The 17,508-nt window shown below is 43.0% G+C and overlaps 2 long non-coding RNA genes across 11 annotated transcripts in view; one reads left to right on the top strand and one right to left on the bottom strand.

Moving 5' to 3' along the window:
* TNPO1-DT (TNPO1 divergent transcript) overlaps positions 1-3,406 on the top strand; it is a 245,434-nt gene extending 242,028 nt beyond the window's left edge. For 7 of the 10 annotated variants that reach the window (NR_186516.1, NR_186515.1, NR_186512.1 and 4 more), the window contains one exon: positions 12-3,406. This is a non-coding gene — a long non-coding RNA (TNPO1 divergent transcript). Of the gene's footprint in view, positions 1-8 lie in introns of all 10 variants that reach the window. The other 3 variants (NR_186514.1, NR_186511.1, NR_186510.1) reach the window with 1 other exon arrangement.
* LOC102503427 (uncharacterized) lies at positions 2,778-17,444 on the bottom strand. The gene is made up of 4 exons (NR_105008.1): positions 17,068-17,444; positions 4,584-4,681; positions 3,044-3,086; positions 2,778-2,925 (listed from the first exon to the last, which is right to left on the bottom strand). It is a non-coding gene; the product is annotated as an uncharacterized LOC102503427 (long non-coding RNA).
* Positions 17,445-17,508: the final 64 nt, after the last annotated feature.

The raw sequence follows: 17,508 nt of genomic DNA, 5'->3' as shown, positions 1-17,508 counted from the left end.
GTGCACAGTAGGGATCCTCTGGAAACAGAACAGAGGGAAGAAGATACCTTCCCTGAAGCCCAGATGTTCCAGAAGCCTGCGCCTCATTCACAAAGTCACCCCAAAAATGCCCTAGAGTTTGGAGTTTTGAAGAAGCGGGAAGAAGGCCTGAGTAAGGGCCTGGGAACCAAGTTAGATCCTACTTCAGCATCAGCACATGCCAGCGATGGTGCACACAGGTGGAGAGCGGCCTGCCCGTCTTTTCCATGGTGCCCACAGACCCATTTAGGATGAAAGATCAGAAAATTCTCTCCATGTCACCGCTTCTGAAACATGTGAATATTAATATTTGGTGCCTAAAAGGCCATGGCAAATTTTCATTGGTTTTATCTTATTCATGATTATAGAGTTGAAAGAATACATATTCCCATGGGGATCAATGAAGACATTCTCATTTTGAATGAAGTAGAATATAAGTTGTAAAGATATAGAATTTTCCTGAACTGAACCTTGAACCAAAAATCCCCTCAATTAACCTGGAACTAAACACAGTCCCTGAAGATAACAAGGAGTTTCAGGATGCCACAGGGCTGTCTGTGCAGTATGGGGCTTCTTGCTCTATCTCTGGTATCTGAGGCAGATAGGCTACTCAGGCCCCTCTCTGGTCTCAAGGTGGGCTGGCTGAGATGTCAGTTTCTTCCTCAGTGACAGCTTGGGTACAGTATGTGTAAACTGATTGTCAGCTGAGCTGAAGGGACTCTGCCCATATTGGAGTGTTCTACAAGAAGAGGTGTCAAACCTAAAGGTCTAAAATTACTATGAAAGGAGTATTGGAAACCACTGGGACAATTGTGATCACAACTGGTGGTAGCCTTCTCGTTTGGGTGAGAAAGACAGAAAGGAGGAAGATGTGTTAGTCAAGGTTCTCTAGAGGGACAAAACTAATAGGATATATGTATATATGAGAGGGAGTTTATTAAGGAGAATTGACTCACTTGATCACAAGGTAAAGTCCCAAGATAGGCTGTCTGCAAGTTGAGGAGCAAGGAAGTCATTGGTGGATTGTTCTGGGTACCAAAACCTCAAAAGTAGGGAAATCGACAGTGCAGCCTTCAGTCTGTGGTCAAAGGCTCGAGGGGCCCTGGCAGACCACTGGTGTAAGTCCAAGAGTCCCAGAAGCTGAAGAACTTGGAGTCTGATGTTTGAGGGCAGGAAGCATCCAGCACAGGAGAAAGACGGATGCTGGAAGACTTAGCAAGTCTGTTCTTTCCAATTTCTTCTGCCTGCTTTTATTCTAGCCATGCTGGCAGCTGATTAGATGGTGCCCTCCCAAATTGAGGGTGGCTGTGCCTCTCCCAGTCCACTGACTCAAATGTTAATCTCCTTTGGCAACACCCTCACAGACACACCCAGGAACAATACTTTGCATCCTTCATTCCAATCAAGTTGACACTCAATATTAACCATCACAGAAGGAGAATTTCAGGCTGAGTCCAAACACTATGGCCCCAGCCCCAGCTTCCCCTTTCTGGGTTGAATAACCAGACTGAGCCTAAGAAAAGGAAAAGAGTTGACTTTCTCCCAAAAGGCCTGCAGCGGGTTAGAAAGCAATGGTTTGGGGACCATACTGAGTGCCTAGGATGCTCTGGACCACAAAGCTTGAAGTCAAATTGTTCATGCACTTGTTTCATGATAGGAAGAGAGAGAGAGAGAGAGAGAGAGAGAGAGAAATTTCCTTTCCTTGAAGAATGGCAAAACACGTCTCTTGTTCTGGGGGCTATATCTTGAAGGGTATCTGATCTCCCCCTCATGGGAGGAACTAGAATGCCCTAAGGCAGCCGTGGCTCCTGGAGCTGAGAGATCTTTCTGACACTTTGTGAGAGCTGCAAGGCTAAGTCTGGAGCCAGAAAAGTCCATGTGGACAAGTGCAGAGCAAGCAGATCTGAGACACATGTGGGAGCAAGCTGGACATGTCCAAAAGTCAGAGGAAGCAAGAGCAGACATGCATGAGCAGGCAGATGAGGCTGGTGCCCAGGCAGCAGGCTGAGGCTCTGGCTGGGCTTTGGATGCTCCTGAGAGTCCAGTTAGAGACCAGTGAGCAAACCCACAGTGAACTCTTATTCCTCACGCAGCAGGACGAGGGATTAAGCACAAAGCCTTAAAGGTCTGAGTGTCTCTTTATCCTGACCTCAGGAAAGAGAGGCAAGTATCATGTTTCTAAAAGTCTGAGAAGTCTTCACATGACAGCCTACACCAAAAGAACTCAAATGCACATCCACTGCATACACGCATGTGTGCACACATATACATGTGTACACATGCATGCCCACACACAACCCTCTGGAAGAGGAAGTAAAGAGACTTTATGTTTTCAGCCCCTCTTGAGGAAACTTAAACTAAGTCTTTCTGTGGGGTTAGTGGTGGAGACAGAGAGGGTCTGGGGTCACCGAGGCCGAGGTGGCTGGACCCAGAGGGTAGAGCTGAGGGGATCCCCTGAGACTGGGAAGATGGAGCAGAAGCAGATGGCAGATGGCAGCAGGTGAGAGCAGACTGGATTTCTCCTAAATCACCAGATCCAGCCAACCTTTCTTTCCTTAGGGACACCTCTAGATCCCATTCCAAATGAACTCTTTCTCTGACCTTTCACCTCAATTCAGAATTTGGGAAATTTAGCCATGATCTTAGGAACACAGAGGCTTGAAACAATCTTTTCTAACCACCCGTTTGTTCAGACTGTGTAAGTTCTGCTTCTGCATCCAGTGTCAACACCCAAGAACCATTTTAAAGGGGAGCCATCCTTTGAAATTAAACTTCTTTTAATAATAAAGACAGATTTCAGGGTTGACATAAAAGATAGCCACAGTAAAGCCAATCCTCCAGTGTATAACATTTTTCAAAGTTTCCTTCCTCTTCATTGCTGGTGTTCATGTACAGTCCAGAGTTAGTCTACATTAAATTATAGATTGTTTTCAGCAATAATGCAAACATTTGGAAGCCTTCAAACTCTCTGATAACTAACTTCTACATTCTCTCTGCTATTATTATATAGAAAGGGAAATTTTACCTGATGCTGTTAAAGTCCTCACGAACATAGTGATCCGAATTGGCTGAAGTGGAAAACTAAATGTTAGCTGATTTTCAAAACAAGATTTCCACTCTGAATTCCCATTTTTCACATGTGATCATATGCCTTGTTGTGAAGTTGAACTAAAAAGAAACTCCATGCCCACTGGCTTAATGCTAGAAGATAATCTACAGCATAGTAATTTCTTAGACTTCACTTTATTAGCCACTAAACTTGGAATGATTATTTCTATGTTCAATTATTAAGTCTATATCTCCATTTCTTAAAAAGGTCTGAGGCAGCCCCTTTGAATATTAATACGCATTTATTTTCACCTCTCAAATAAAAAAATAGTTCACAGTGGTACTGATATGTCTTCATTTAAAAAACATTTAAATAATTTTATCAAAATCTAAAAAATATATATTTATAGTATTTTAAATAATCAACTATTATTTGGTATATTGCAGTTTTCCTAAATAATACAACTCTATCAAACTTGAAATTTGCCATTTTGGACTTCACATTATCATAAACAAGTTGATCACATGGTTCAGTTCTATCTGAAAACCAGCCAGAAAACCCAAAGTCATCAATCTTTCCCCCACTGTCTTGGACCGGCAGCAGGCACCATATTAATTCTTACTTCTCAGCATCAAGTATCTAGATGAATCTTACCAATTCTCCTTTTACTCTGTTGCCTGGCATTGATTCTACTTTAATTGGAACTCCATCTTTGCCTTCTCGATAAGTTAGCTTGCTTTCTCATTCCTTTTTTTCTTTCTTTCTTTTTTGTGTCTTCCTCAAACTTACCCTTACCCTGCTATCTCTTCCTGTGTGATTATTTCACTCTGAAGTTTTGTCACAGTTTTTTTTTTTTACTGCAGCTTCCAAGGTCATTTGAAATTTGTGTGTTCATGGTAATTACCACTCTGCTATAATGTTGGAGTAAAGGCAAAAATTGTCATTCATTCTATATTGGCTTTTCTCAAACTATATTCTGGAATTATATATATATATAATTCTGGAAGAATTATAATTCTTCCAGATGTTAATGTTTGTTATGAGAAAAGGTTCCATGATTAGTGTGGCTTGGGAAATGCTGGTGATTCATTACACACATTAGCATTTAAAAGGCTCCAAGAAGTCATATGATAAAGAAAATTGCTTAATTTTATTTAATCCAGTATTTCCCAAATTTATTTGCTAAAAGACTCCACCATTACCACCACCACTTTCATGAAATATAGTTTGGGACACATATATTCATGGATCTTACAGACTAATAGAGTTAGCCAGTCATTATCCAGAGGACACAGGTAAGGATATATCTACAAACTGAGTTAATTACTCTTGAGGAAGGGATGGCAGTTCTGTGAGAACATGTAACAAAAGACAGTGACTTAGGCTAGGGGTAGAGAATATTTTCTCAAAGATTCCACTCTTTTGCTGAGACCTGAATGGTGAGTAGGAGCCAGGGGCCTGCTGGGGGACACGGGGTGGGGGAGGAATCTTCCTCACTCACACAGTCCATACTTACGTCTGAGTGGAGTGGCTGGCTTCTAGGTCAGCTCTGAAGACAGGGATTGGGAGCAAAGATTTCATTCTCTTGTGACATATGGCCGTCCATTTTCGTTTCTGTTAACATTGAGATTTCTTTAGAGAAAAGGACAGAATAGAGAAGCTACTAAAGCTTTTCAGAGAAACAAAATCCCTCACAGGATCAGGAGACAGCTGGGATGTGGGAGGTGGTAGCTGGAGGGAGTGAGGAGAGAGATACCAAAAATAACACCCATTTTTGTAACAAGACTTGGTTATTTTTACAAATGATTGTATAGATTGTTCAACTGTGGTCTGTGAAATACAGACTGTCACTCGTCAGTAGTATGGTATATTGGGTAGTACAAACCTCAAGAGTGTAACATACTTCCCACCACACACTTGTTAATTAGATGCTGAAATTATCCACCTTTACCCATGAATGGACTAAAGTTAGTGTTTAAAGGATTGAGACCAGGTGCAGGAGACATTCACAATTAGGGAAGCAATTGTGCGTTTATTTAAAGACCATAAAGTTGAAGCCTCTTTTCTTGATTTGATTTGACTTTTTTTTTAGATTTTCAGGGAAGATGATATGAACATTCTGCTCTCTCTGGCAGAGCAGCTACTTTTGAAAAATCCAACATTCACTTGCTTCTAGGTTCCTGTAAATTCAATACAGTACAGTAAGCCAGACCTTAAGTACAGCATAAAACACATGATGATGGCTTGTCAGAGGTGATGTAGGTCTTGATAAATGACCAACACAGAACTATTAATACACAATTTAGCATGGTAGACACTTGGCTTTGGAGGTCAGATGGCCAGAAATCTAGTGGGAAAAGAGAAAGAGATAGGAGAGAGAGAGAACACAAACAAAATACTGAGACCTGGGAGTGTCGATAGGACGGATTATCCTAAGAAAATAGGATCTCTGAAGGTTGAAGCTAGGAGAGGGATAAGAAACCAAGAGCACTAGGTTTATTGCAGTTTTCCTAAATAATATAACTCTATAGAACTTGAAATTTATAAGTATATTATATTATATATTATAAATAACTCTATAGAACTGTATAGAACTTGAAATAACTCTATAGAACTTGAAATTTCCTGTTTGCTGCTTCCAAGCAGTGGTAAGCCTATTGAGCACCTTGAGATTTCAATCTGGCTCAATAGTGTACATTCAGTTTGGTGCTATGGCAATTCCTCACTTGGTTCCTCACCTGGCAGCAAATCCAGTACTACTAGATTGGCCCTGGGGGTTCAGGAAGCAGAGTTAGAAAAGGGCAATGGGTTGTTGTGCAAGGGGCAGCCATTAGAAATGAACTCTTCTGGTCCCATGTTGATCTTTGGGTTGGGGTACTAAAAAATTAACTCTTAACCATGAGCAGTGAAAACATGTCATGGGAAGGCCTCGCTATGGGCTTGCTCTGGGGGAACATCACTAGTTTGTAGTGAAAGTTGAGAAATCTCTTTGTGATTTAACTGTCAATATAATGCAGTCTTCAGAGTGTGGGTTCTGGAGTCACACAGACTGAACTTCACATCCTCACTCTGCCTCCTGGTTAACTGTTGCATCAGTCAGGTCCGTTCAGGAAAACAGAGCCATGCCAGGTAATAGGTGAGATTTACCATGGAGAACGAGTCACAAATGGTTTGAAAGAAGTAAAACTCTAAACAAGAGACAGGAGGCCACCCAAAGATTAGCAAAAGCCAGAAAGTGCTACCATTCTTAGGACTGGGGGGTTGGGGGTGGCCTGGTGGGAGGGGACTGGAACATGGAAGAAAGGCCCTCTCATGGGATCTGGGACACGAAGAAGGTGTAACCCTTGCCAGAGATGCCGCCCAGAATACACAGGGAGAAATATCCTGGCTTCTCCCTTCTTTCTACTCATAAATTTCCCTCCAGTGACCCTCTTGGTGAACCAGAAGCCAGTTGGCAAGGGAGCCTACAAAATAGACTTTGCTCGGCCAGCAAAGCAGAGGAAGGTGGGGAAATAGATGTGAGGTCACACAGGCAAACAACCATCCCTTCAGTTCCATGATCCTGCTGCGTAATGTCCTGTAGCCTCAGTTTCCTCACTTGTAAGATGGAAATAGTACTCCTACCTCACAGGGCCATTGAGAGGATTACATGAGCTAGCATATGTTTCAGTTAGGTTTTCTTGAACAGTCTCACTCAAGAACCTCAAGTGATTGGAGTGAAGGGAGGAAGACAGTTAGAAAGAGATACACGAAACCAAGGAAATAGGGGTCCAAGCCCAGAGCTTTACAGTAGCTGAGGAGGAGCCAGACAACCCATCCCAAGAAGAGCAGGAATTACTGTGGAGCTGGGTCTCATGGAGACTGAGGTCAGGAAGACCCTCAGCATCCAAAGCACTCCTCTGGATCTCAGCAGAGGGAGGTGTAGAGTTTTGCTTTTTCTCTTCTACATTAAGATGACCCCAAATCTCTCTCTGGGTCTGGTTTCCTCTTTTAGCTATCAGGCAGTTATCCTCCAGTCTAAAGTTATCCTTTACTTATCCTCTAGCCTAAAGCTTTTCTCTGAAGCTAATAAGTTTTTGATCTTAGAATTTCTGCTTCCCATGGCTTTGGCTTGATCATGAACCTTTTGCCTCCTCTCAAACTTAAGATCTTTCAGCTTCAGCTTCCACTGAAAATTGTTTACTTCCTCCAACATTTCCCAATTTAATTTCATTGGAACAAGAATCTTATAGGGCCAGCTCTTTTTTATTTGGTAGAACTTTTCATTCGAGATCCTCTCACAGCAGGTATGGCTTCAATGTTTTGGGGGAAGTGCCCAGGCTTGGTCCAATTATCAGTTTTGGAGGGAGAGAGGCAGGGCAATGTGGTCCAAAATGTGGTTGCCCCATACCGTCCCTTCAGAAGGGGCTGTGGATGGATAACTAAGAGCTTTCCCCCACCACCACCACCACCTCTGGGGTAGTTTGGTTCCCATAACCTCACAGAAGCTAGAACTCTGGGCCACCTCTGTTGACTTCTGGTTCAGACCTCAATGGTTTCACATTCCACCTGTTGTTTCTCTTCTGATTCTAGTACATAGAGATACTTGTCTTGTTTTAGCATGGCCATGGCTTTTGATTTTCCTTTTTCTTCTTTCTTTTTTTTTTTTTTTTGTTTTTGTTTTTGAGACAGAGTTTCACTCTTGTCAGCTAGGCTGGAGTATAATGGTGCCATCTCAGCTCACTGCAACTCTGCCTCCCAGGTTCAAGTGATTCTCCTGCCTTAGCCTCCCAAGTAGCGGGGATTACAGGCGCCCGCCACCATGCCCAGCTACTTTTTTGTATTTTTAGTAGAGACGGGGTTTCACCATGTTGTCTAGGCAGGTCTCAAACTCCTGACTTCAGGTGATCTGCCTGCCTTGGTCTCCCAAAGTGCTGGGATTACAGGCGTGAACCATCACGCCCGGCCTCTTTTTTTTTCTTTTTTATAGGTCATGGCAATCAATGACTTTGAAGCAAAACAAAGCCTCAATTTTTGAATTCACAATACCATCTTGTCTGGAATTCATGCCAATAATTTCTAAAACTTAGAACAAATACAAAGCTAGACATTACCAAAATTAAGTTCTTATGAGAAACTCTTTTAAGAAGAGGGAGTGACCAAATGGAGAAAAGAGGAAAAAGTTGAAAATAACCTAGTTCACAGATTGAGAGAACATGAAGACAATAATATCACTAAGGGTATCTGAAAACTAGAGTACTGCAGGGAATAAAGCTTCAGGCACACATAGTTTGAGAGATGGAGATGAAGATGGACTCCTTATCTTAAAATCAATAACCCTCTCACCAAAAAACCAAAACAAACCATAAAACCCATAAACAACAATAACAATAAAAATCAATAAACAACCCAAATATGGGTATTCACGAGTGAATGAGTCAAAGTGATGAAGGGAAAATGAGCTTAGATAAAGATAATTTTCGAGACTGAAATGAGAGGGTCACTTTATCTTCAAATTATCAGATCCTACTCGCCATCACCCCCACAGCTGGCCAAGAACCCTAAACCAACAAACAAAAATTCAAGAATAAAATGGGACTAGGCCATATATGGAACCACATGAAAAAAATGAACTGCTCACAGGCTTTATCGTTGAGTGAATGAAGGTTCTAGGGAGAAAAGGATCATAGAGTAAGACGTTGCAAGCATATCTCAGCTTCTGTGGTGGGGTGGACAGAAAGGAGGACAAGACAGAAATAGCTGACTCAGCTCTGCCTCCCACACTTTGGGGGTCAGTGTGGGTTCAGAGCAGCACCCCAGACTGGCTGTGAATGAGGACATGGTCTTTTCTCAATGCCCCTGTGGACTGTCAGGACTTATCACTACTTCGTACCTCATCAACGCATTTGTGGGAGCTCCTTCCTTATCGGGTGGGGATAGGGCAAAAGAGGATTGAGAAGTTTGTGGCTTTGGCATTCCCAGGGAGAGAAAGGCAGGGCTTTCTGAGAATTAGAATGTAAACTGTGGGGCTTTCTTTAGCTCCATACCTATTTCCAATGCATGTCAGACTTACAGAGTGAATACAGACTGACTGAAGAGAGAAGGAACTGTCTTCAAGAATGGGACACTTCCCTGGTTGAACATATTCTGGCTGGATTGCTGACTGGACAAAGGAAGACTCACTTGGTGCTGCCAGAAAAGAACACTCTTGGCTGACATCTGCGGGGTTGTTCCTGGCCTCAAAACAGACAGGGTATCGACTAGTTGCCTCCTGAACTATTACACGGAGGCTGGAAAGTGGACCAGGCCCTGGTAAATCAGAAGGAGATGAATCAAAGTGAGTTGAATCTAGCCTGGAGGCGTGGAGGGTTGGCTAGGGAGTCAAGAGATCTAGGCCCCCTTCTGAGTCCTGAGACTCTCTCACAGTGTGGCCCAGACTTCTTTTTCTTCTTCAACAAAAGGAAGGATTGGACATGATTATTTTCAAAGTCCCTCTAGCTCTAATAGTCATTCATGTAGGTGGGAAGAGGGTGGGAAGTGGGGACAGACAGGGCATAGACAGTGTTCATTTGGGAGCAGAGGGAATAATTCAAGCTTAAAAATCAAACTGATAAAAATGGTAAAGAGAAGAAAGGACTTAATCTCTCTCCCCTTGGAAAGATCAAGAGCTTTTAGATCTGGTCTCATTAAATTTTTTTTCTCTTTTCTCTCTCTCTCTCAAAAAAAAATCATATTGTAATTTATGTTACTCGTAATCCCTTGTGATGACTTTAATACTTTTTCAGCCTTTGTGTAGCTACTGGTTTTCACATTTAAGACAGGAAATCTTCATTTAGTGATCTTAAAAGTGTTGGTATGGACCCCACCAATGGCCACACTCTAGGAAACTATGGAAGCTGTGACTGGTGTTTTTGTTCCTTTTCTGTTTATTCAGATCCATCCCTTTGCTTTTTCTTCCAGATAGAATCGTCCAGAGGAAATGCCTTTTTACAGTCACAACTCTAAAAAGTTCAGTCTTTATTCAATATTTCTTCAGAGCTGCTATGTGTTGAATGCTAGCACTGAGATAGACGCTAGTGAGCAAGGAGAAAACAAGACAAATGGGATCCCCATGTTCCTGACATGTACAAGGATTTGTGTGTGTGTATGGTGTGTGTGTGTGTGTGTGTGTGTGTGTGTGTGTGTTTAGATGGCACGGCCTTGAAACAGGAAAGCAGAAAAATAAGTGAAATGATTATCAGACTATGTATTGTGATAAGAGCTATAAAGTAGACAAAGGGCTGAGATAGAGGAAATGGCAGAGCAATGATGTGTCCATCTGGGTGTGGGGAGGTGATTATGGCTTGGATCTGTTTTCCCACCCAAATCTCAGGTTGAATTGTAATCCCCAGTGCTGGAGGTGGGGCCTGGTGGGAGGTGACTGGACCATGGGGGTGGATTTCTCATGAATGATCTAGCACCATCCCCTTGGTACTGTCCTTATAATAGTGAGTTCTTATGAAATCTGGTGGTTTACAAACGTGTGGCACCTCCTTCCCCCCCACATCCTGCCCTCGCCATGTGATAATGCCTGCTTTTCCTTCACCTTCCACCATGATTGTAAGTTTCCTGAGGCTTCCCCAGAAGCCAAGCAGATGGCAGCATCATGCTTCCTGTACTGTCTGCAGAGCCCTAAGCCAATTTCACCTCTTTTTCTGTATAAATTGCCCACTCTTAGGCATTCCTTTATAGCAATGTGAGAGCAGATTAATATAGGAGAGGTGCAAGGTGAGTGGGTTGCTTTTGAGTTTGTAGCCAGAGAAGGCCTCTTTGCTAAGGAAAGCAGCTACACCAAGAGTGGAGACCTGATTGGGTGGGTGAGAGTGACCAGTGGAAGGAATTACTGCATCTTCATAGCAGCTGGGAAGATGGATGCACTAGTATCCTCTTCTCTACACACTAGAATACATGAAATTTTTATCTGTGAGATTAAGTTTAGCTATCAAAAAGAATGTCCTAAGCTCACATATATTCACATGTATGTGAATATATGAAGCATTGTCAAGTCTCCTTAAGGCCAGTCTGGAACTGCTCAGCAGGCCCCACCTTCTTTAGCACAGGCTCCAGAGGAAGTGGGCTCAGTGTGTTGCCTCTTTCAGTGGTGAAGGCAAGCCGGGATACTGTGTGCAAAGTTTGGGACTGAAAATAATCTCCACTTAAAAAAAATCCTTCCATCAGGAGGAGATCGAAGAATGAAAAATAGAATCAAATAATAATAATTGTTGTCGTTATTATTTTTATTAGATTATCTAATTTATGCCAGGCTCTTTCTAATTATTTTACAAGTTTATTTTAAGCCCTGACTCATCTGCATGAAGTAGGAATTATTGTTATCCCAATTTTACAGATAAAGACAATGAGGCCCAGAGAGCTCAAAGTGCTTGCCCAAGGTTCCAGAATGCATTCCCTTAACCTTAGGCAACACTGCTTTGGAGGGGTTAGTTTCATATGAGTTAGTTTCATATGAGTATTTTAGGTAGCACACATTAGGTAGCACAACATTAGAAAGTAAGAAGTTCTTTTCGGAGTTAAGAGAATGCCAGTTTTCCATTTGAGAGTGAGATTTCCCATCATCTCCAAATTAGAATCTCTGGGTGTAGAACTCAGGTATTTGCACTTTCTAAACACTGTTTGCACTTTCTAAACACTGTTTGCGAAGCATGGTTGTGTGGGCACTCACAAGTATGGAGCCAAGAGAGTAGACTCTGAATTCCTTCAAAAATAATAATACTAATAACAACAACAACAATAATAATAGTGATAATAATGCTATTTCTTGAGTGCCTTCTCTGGGTTAGACATTTAGCTGTTTCCATGTGTGATTATATTTAATGTTGACAACTCTACAAGAACTGTATGATTTTTTACCTTTTACAAATGAGGATAAATCTAAACTCAGAGAGATAAGTAACTTGCCTAAAGTCATATAGACAGAGAGTTGCAAATCTGATGTTCAAACCTCATCTGCCTGTTCATGTTCCACAACTTCATGTTTGTTATCTGCAATTCTATAGGCTCATTTTTAGATTACAGAGATCAACCTAAAATTTTTGATCTTGTCTCATCTCAAAACATAACCAAATGAACAAATGACATTTTTCCAGGTATATGGTCTTTGACAAGTTGCTTAGCCTCTCATTTTCTTACTTATAAGATGAAAATAGTAGTGCCTACCTCATGAGTTTGTTGTAAGGATTAAATGGGATACTCCATGTATAGCCTGGAAAGCACCTGGCATTTGGTAAGCACTCAATAGATGTAGCTGCTCTCACTAGTACCATGATTATACTGCCCAACTCTTCCTAAGTGAATTTATGCAATTGTTCCATAATTAGAATTTCTGTCCACCAATATTGATTGCTGGTTTCCTCTTGGCCATATTGAACTGACAAAGATCAACCTACTCCTTAATAAGCAAAAACAAAGAATCCTCAGACGTCTGTGACTATTCCTGTGTTCAAACTTCTTTCTCCCAACTGACTTCCAGGAAGATATGCCGCTTCGTCAGCTGAGCTCTAGTTGCCAATCTGCAAAGTCACTGTCTCCTTCCTACTATCTTCCCTTTATCGGGGAAACTTACACTTTTCACCCATCATTGACATCCTCTTCATTCAGTCACTCATTCATCCAGCAAATATTTATTGAAGACCTATTCTGTGTCAGGCACTCATTATTCCAGGCACCATAGATGCAGCAGTGAACAAAGATCTCTGCCTTTTTGAAGCTTACATTCTAATGGGAGCTGAGCAAGACAGACATAAACAAGTTGAGTATAACATATGTTAGCTGGTGATAAGTTCTATGGAGGAAACTAAAGCAGGGAAAGGGGATAAGGGTTGCAGGGAAGCAGGGAAAGGGGGTGATGCAGTTTTATGTAGCATTGTTAGAGAAGCCTTCACAACAGGAATATTTCAGCAAAGGCTTGAAGGAGGTGAGGGAGTGAGTCATGAGGATTTCCGGGGAAGAATTTGCCAGGTAAAATTTAGCACATAAATAGTCCTTGAGGCAGATACCTTTAAGTGGCTGCTGCAGATTGAGTAAAGGCTGCAGACTGAGTGAAGGGGACTGTGATAGGCTATGTGCTCAGAGAGATAATGGGGATGGGGATGCATAGGGCCCTGTAGGCCACTGTAAAAGTCTATTGCTTTTAATCTGAGTGGAATGGGATGCATTTGAGGGTTCTGAATAGAGAAATGTTATGCTATAATTGATATTGTTACAGGAACTCTAACTATTCCATTGAGAACACCTGCAAAAAATGGCAAGGCTCGAGGTAGAGAGACCACTCCGTGACTTGCAATAATCCAGGGTAATTTAAGAAGAAAAGAGGCCGGGCACAGTGGCTCACTCCTCTAATCCCAGCAGGTGGGTGGATCACCTGAAGTCAGGAGTTCAAGACCAGCCTGACCAATATGGTGTAAACCTGTCTCTACTAAAAATACAAAAAAAAAAAAAAAATTAGCCAGGCGTGGTGGTGCATGCCTGTAATCCCACCTACTTGGGAGGCTGAGGCAGAAGAATTGCTTGAACCAGGAAGACAGAGGTTGCAGTGAACTGAGATTGTGCCATTGCACTCTAGCCTGGGCAACAAGAAACTCTGTCTCAAAAAAAAAAAGAGAGAAAGAAATATTTTATTCAAAGGATATTGGGTAGCTTATCAAATATATCTACAAGGTCTAAAACCAGCTCCATCATAGTATAGAACTGGTCCTGCAATGCCCTCTCCACTGCCAGCACTGCATCCCCAATGTTGCAGCCTGCCCCCACCAATGCCCTTGATACTGGACCCATCTGCTAGAACCACTGCCACTGCTGCATCTGACAACTAAAAATAGCTGCCATCATGCGTCACTTCTGGTCACTGAGCTTTTGATTCTAAGTCTGGGGATTGTCTGTGCTTGGTGGACTCTGGTCAGTAGCTATGCCCATGCTTTAGCTACAAAGGCAGCATACAAAGTGTGTGTCTGATGCTCTTAGCTTCTGTCAGGGGGGTGGGTGATTCCCAACCATAGGGCAGAGATTCAGTTGTTAATTGGGGGAAAAAAATGACAACTGCTCCCTACTGGTGGGTCCTTGTGTTCCTTAGCTGCTGCATTCCTACCTGGTTGCATACCAAATGGCAGTTTGGGGTCTGTCGTCTTGTTTTCAACAGCGGAAGCAGCAGTAGAGTATCAATTGTTCCCATAGTCATCCACAGCAAAACCTCTCAATGTTGCCGATTCATATACAGAAGGGAGCCATGTTTAGATGTTACTTCCCCATTTTCCCATTGTTCATAGCTTCTTACCTAGTTCATCACTGAAGGCCTGTTTTTTCCCTCCATCTGCTCTTATCATTTTAACTGACAGTTCAGAATGGGGAATAGATGGGGAAATTGACAAGAAGTGGAAACAAGAATGAGTAATAAACATCCTGGTAGTTTCACAGCTGTTGATATTTTTACTTCAATCACTTTATCATCAGATGATTCATGTTATGAATGAACCACGTGTTTGAAATAAGCAGAATTTAGAATTTCCCATTCTTCATTTATCTTAGAGACTGGACAATGAGGCATTGTGTCACTCCCTGAAAGACCCCTTCTCCTCTCTCCCCTTTTCTATTTATTTCTTTATCTTTGCGGCCCCATGTCACTCTGTCACCAGGCTGGAGTGCAGTAGTGCAACCGTAACTCAATGCAGCCTGGAAGTCCTGGGCTCAAGTGAGCCTTCTGAGTAGTTGGTACTACAGGCATGCGCCACCACCCCTGGCTAATTTATTTTATTACAATTCTTTTTTTTGGTAGAGACAAAGTCTCATGTTATTGCCCAAGTTGGTCTTGAACTCGTGGGCTCAAGCAATTCTCCTACCTTGGCCTCCCAAAGTGCTGAGATTATAGGTGTGAGTCACTGTGCCCAACCCCCTTTTCTATATAAATTCAATATTAACAGGTACAAAATGACCTAGGAGGAATTTATACGATTTTCAAGCCCAAAAACTAAAATGACCCGAAAAGGCTAATTTGTAGCCTCTACTTGCAAAATGCTTAATTCAAAAGTTAGTATTTAAAGATAGTTATCAGAAAGTGGGAGAATATTACCCTCTTCCACTCTTGTTCGATATTGTACTTTTGATGTTCACTCCTTGCTTAAAGCTTCTGGCACTGTAAGTAAAACCGTGATGGGACTTTAGAAGACAGTTTCCCTGGTCAAATTAAATAGGGAGCTGCCAAAAATACCTACATCTGGACTCACTCAAGATCTATTAAATGAGAGTCCCTGAGGCCCAGCCCCTCACTCCTCCTTGATTCTAACTTACAGCCAGAGCTGAGAACCACTGGTCTAGGCCTTGGAGGCATTTGTGTATTGAATCAAAGAACAGCCAGGTGGTGTGGCTCAGCAGGTAACTCAAACTTGACTCAAGCAAGAAATGGGAATTTATTAGGTGGCCTAAAGATAGTATAGGCTTTAGCACGGGGGCGGGCGGGGGGCAGGAAGGGGGAAACAAGACAAATTAGTGAACTTGAGGCTGTATCAGGGGTAGGGGAGAAGAGATGAGGTTGCAGGGAACACTGGTGCTTCCTGCCAAGGTCACACCATTCTGTTCCTGAACAAGACCTTAAAAAGCTGACTTTCACCCAAGGGTAAAATCAGCCTTAAAAACAGGTGGATTGCTGTCTCAAATGAATCAAACAATATGGGTTGAAGAGGGTGGGCCTTCCCAGGACCAGAGACAGACCTGCAGGAATAATAACAGTCAGAACTATTAGGTTGTGTAAGACTTTGATTTGGAAGGCAATGCTGCAATGAACATGGTATCTTGAGAAAGCGCAGTTAGCAGAAGCAGCAGTGCCAGAAGCCCTAATAGATGCCTTGCAGGCCTGAACAGGTGGTGCAAGCTGTGAGGCCCATGCCAGCTGCTGCAGCAGGAAGAATCTGCAGGAGAATCTGGTGATGGGATTTGAGAAGCCTTTCTGGCTTCATGGCTTCCAAGCTGGATTCCCCAGCCTTCCTAGGGATTCTGGTCCTCAGCATCCCTTAATAAACGGCTGTTGTGCTTAAACCAACAGAAGCTCTGTGTTTATAATTAATATCTCCGAATGACACACATTCATTCTCATTTAACATTCATTCAATCCAGTGGGATAGAAGATATTATCCCTATTTAATAGAAAAGAAATCAAAAATCAGAGAAGTTAAGAAGCTTGTCCGAGGCCAGACAGCCAGAAAACGGCAACACTGGAGTCAGATTCACACGTGAATGATCCCGAAGCCCATGCTCCTTCTCTGTCCGGCTCCAGGAAAGGGGCCACATACGCAGCGTAGCAGCAGCGAGCCTGTCTTTGGCGCGGCCTCCTTTGTCTTCGTGGTTCAGTTGAGAAAAATGACCTGAGCCCCAAGGTTGCCTAAAATTTGCCTGCTAGCGTCTGCCTTTTACTAAAGTTCCTCACAAGAATGTGGGCTCTGATTGGATGCTTCTACGGTTTTGTGTTTTTGTACTTCATAATTTCCTAGCAAAGTGTCTCTCTGAAAAATGACTTCCTTTCAGCATTGAACTACAGGAAAAGAGATTTTTCCCATGTCTAAGCCAGTGGCAGGGTGGTCATACGTGTGTGGCTCGGAGACCCAGTTTTAGAAGAACTGAGGCAGGTGGTGAGTGTCCAGGAGAGAAGAAACCCGGGGTCACTGTTGGCCCCTCTTCCTGAGGGCAGCTCACAGATGCCACCTACCCGTGGCCCCCAGAAACAATGTATTTAGACCCCAAACCACTGTTCTAGAATAGCTCTATCCAACTTCCAGTTCTCTAGTTCAGGAAAGTCCCTGAATTTAAAAGCTGGAAGAGACCTTACAAATTTCATTTTGCATATGAGAAAACTCAGAAAGGATTTTCCTGAGGTCACACAATTAGTGGCTGGGCAGGATTATTGCTTACAACAGAAACTACAGAAAAAAAAATTGCTTAAAGCAAAAAAAGCATATGGCTCTTTATGCTTCACAATTTACCTGGGAGACATATACCGAGAGATGAGACATCGTGTGAACTGTAAACGTCCTACAGGAACACAGGCGTGGGGGACCACGGAGGCCGCAGCGGTTAGAAAAGGCTTCAGGGGAGGTGAGGGGCTAGCGTGGGCCCCTGGAGGACGAACAGGAGAGCCTGGCAGAGAGAGGGCGACGGCGAGGAAAGGAGCAGAGAGACAGGGCCCCTCTCTGGCTGGGCCTAAGGAAGGGGAGGAACCCTGCCACCCCACCTCACCCCACCCCTGCTCAAATCTCTGGATCCTGGAGCAAAAATGGGAAAAAGCGACCAGACAGCACTGCGGGGTGGCTCCTCCTTCTCTCAGAGAGTGTTAAGCAAGCCCATGTGTTGGGACGCGGCTAAGGGGATCCGGGCATGCTTGGCGGGCGGCCAGGAGGAGGCGCCCGCCCCTGCCCGAAGCAGCC

This window comes from Homo sapiens, chromosome 5, assembly GCF_000001405.40.
Source record: "Homo sapiens chromosome 5, GRCh38.p14 Primary Assembly".
Taxonomy (NCBI): domain Eukaryota; kingdom Metazoa; phylum Chordata; class Mammalia; order Primates; family Hominidae; genus Homo; species Homo sapiens.
Note: the sequence above shows the minus strand (reverse complement) of the source record. Positions and strands in the feature narration are given on the sequence as shown.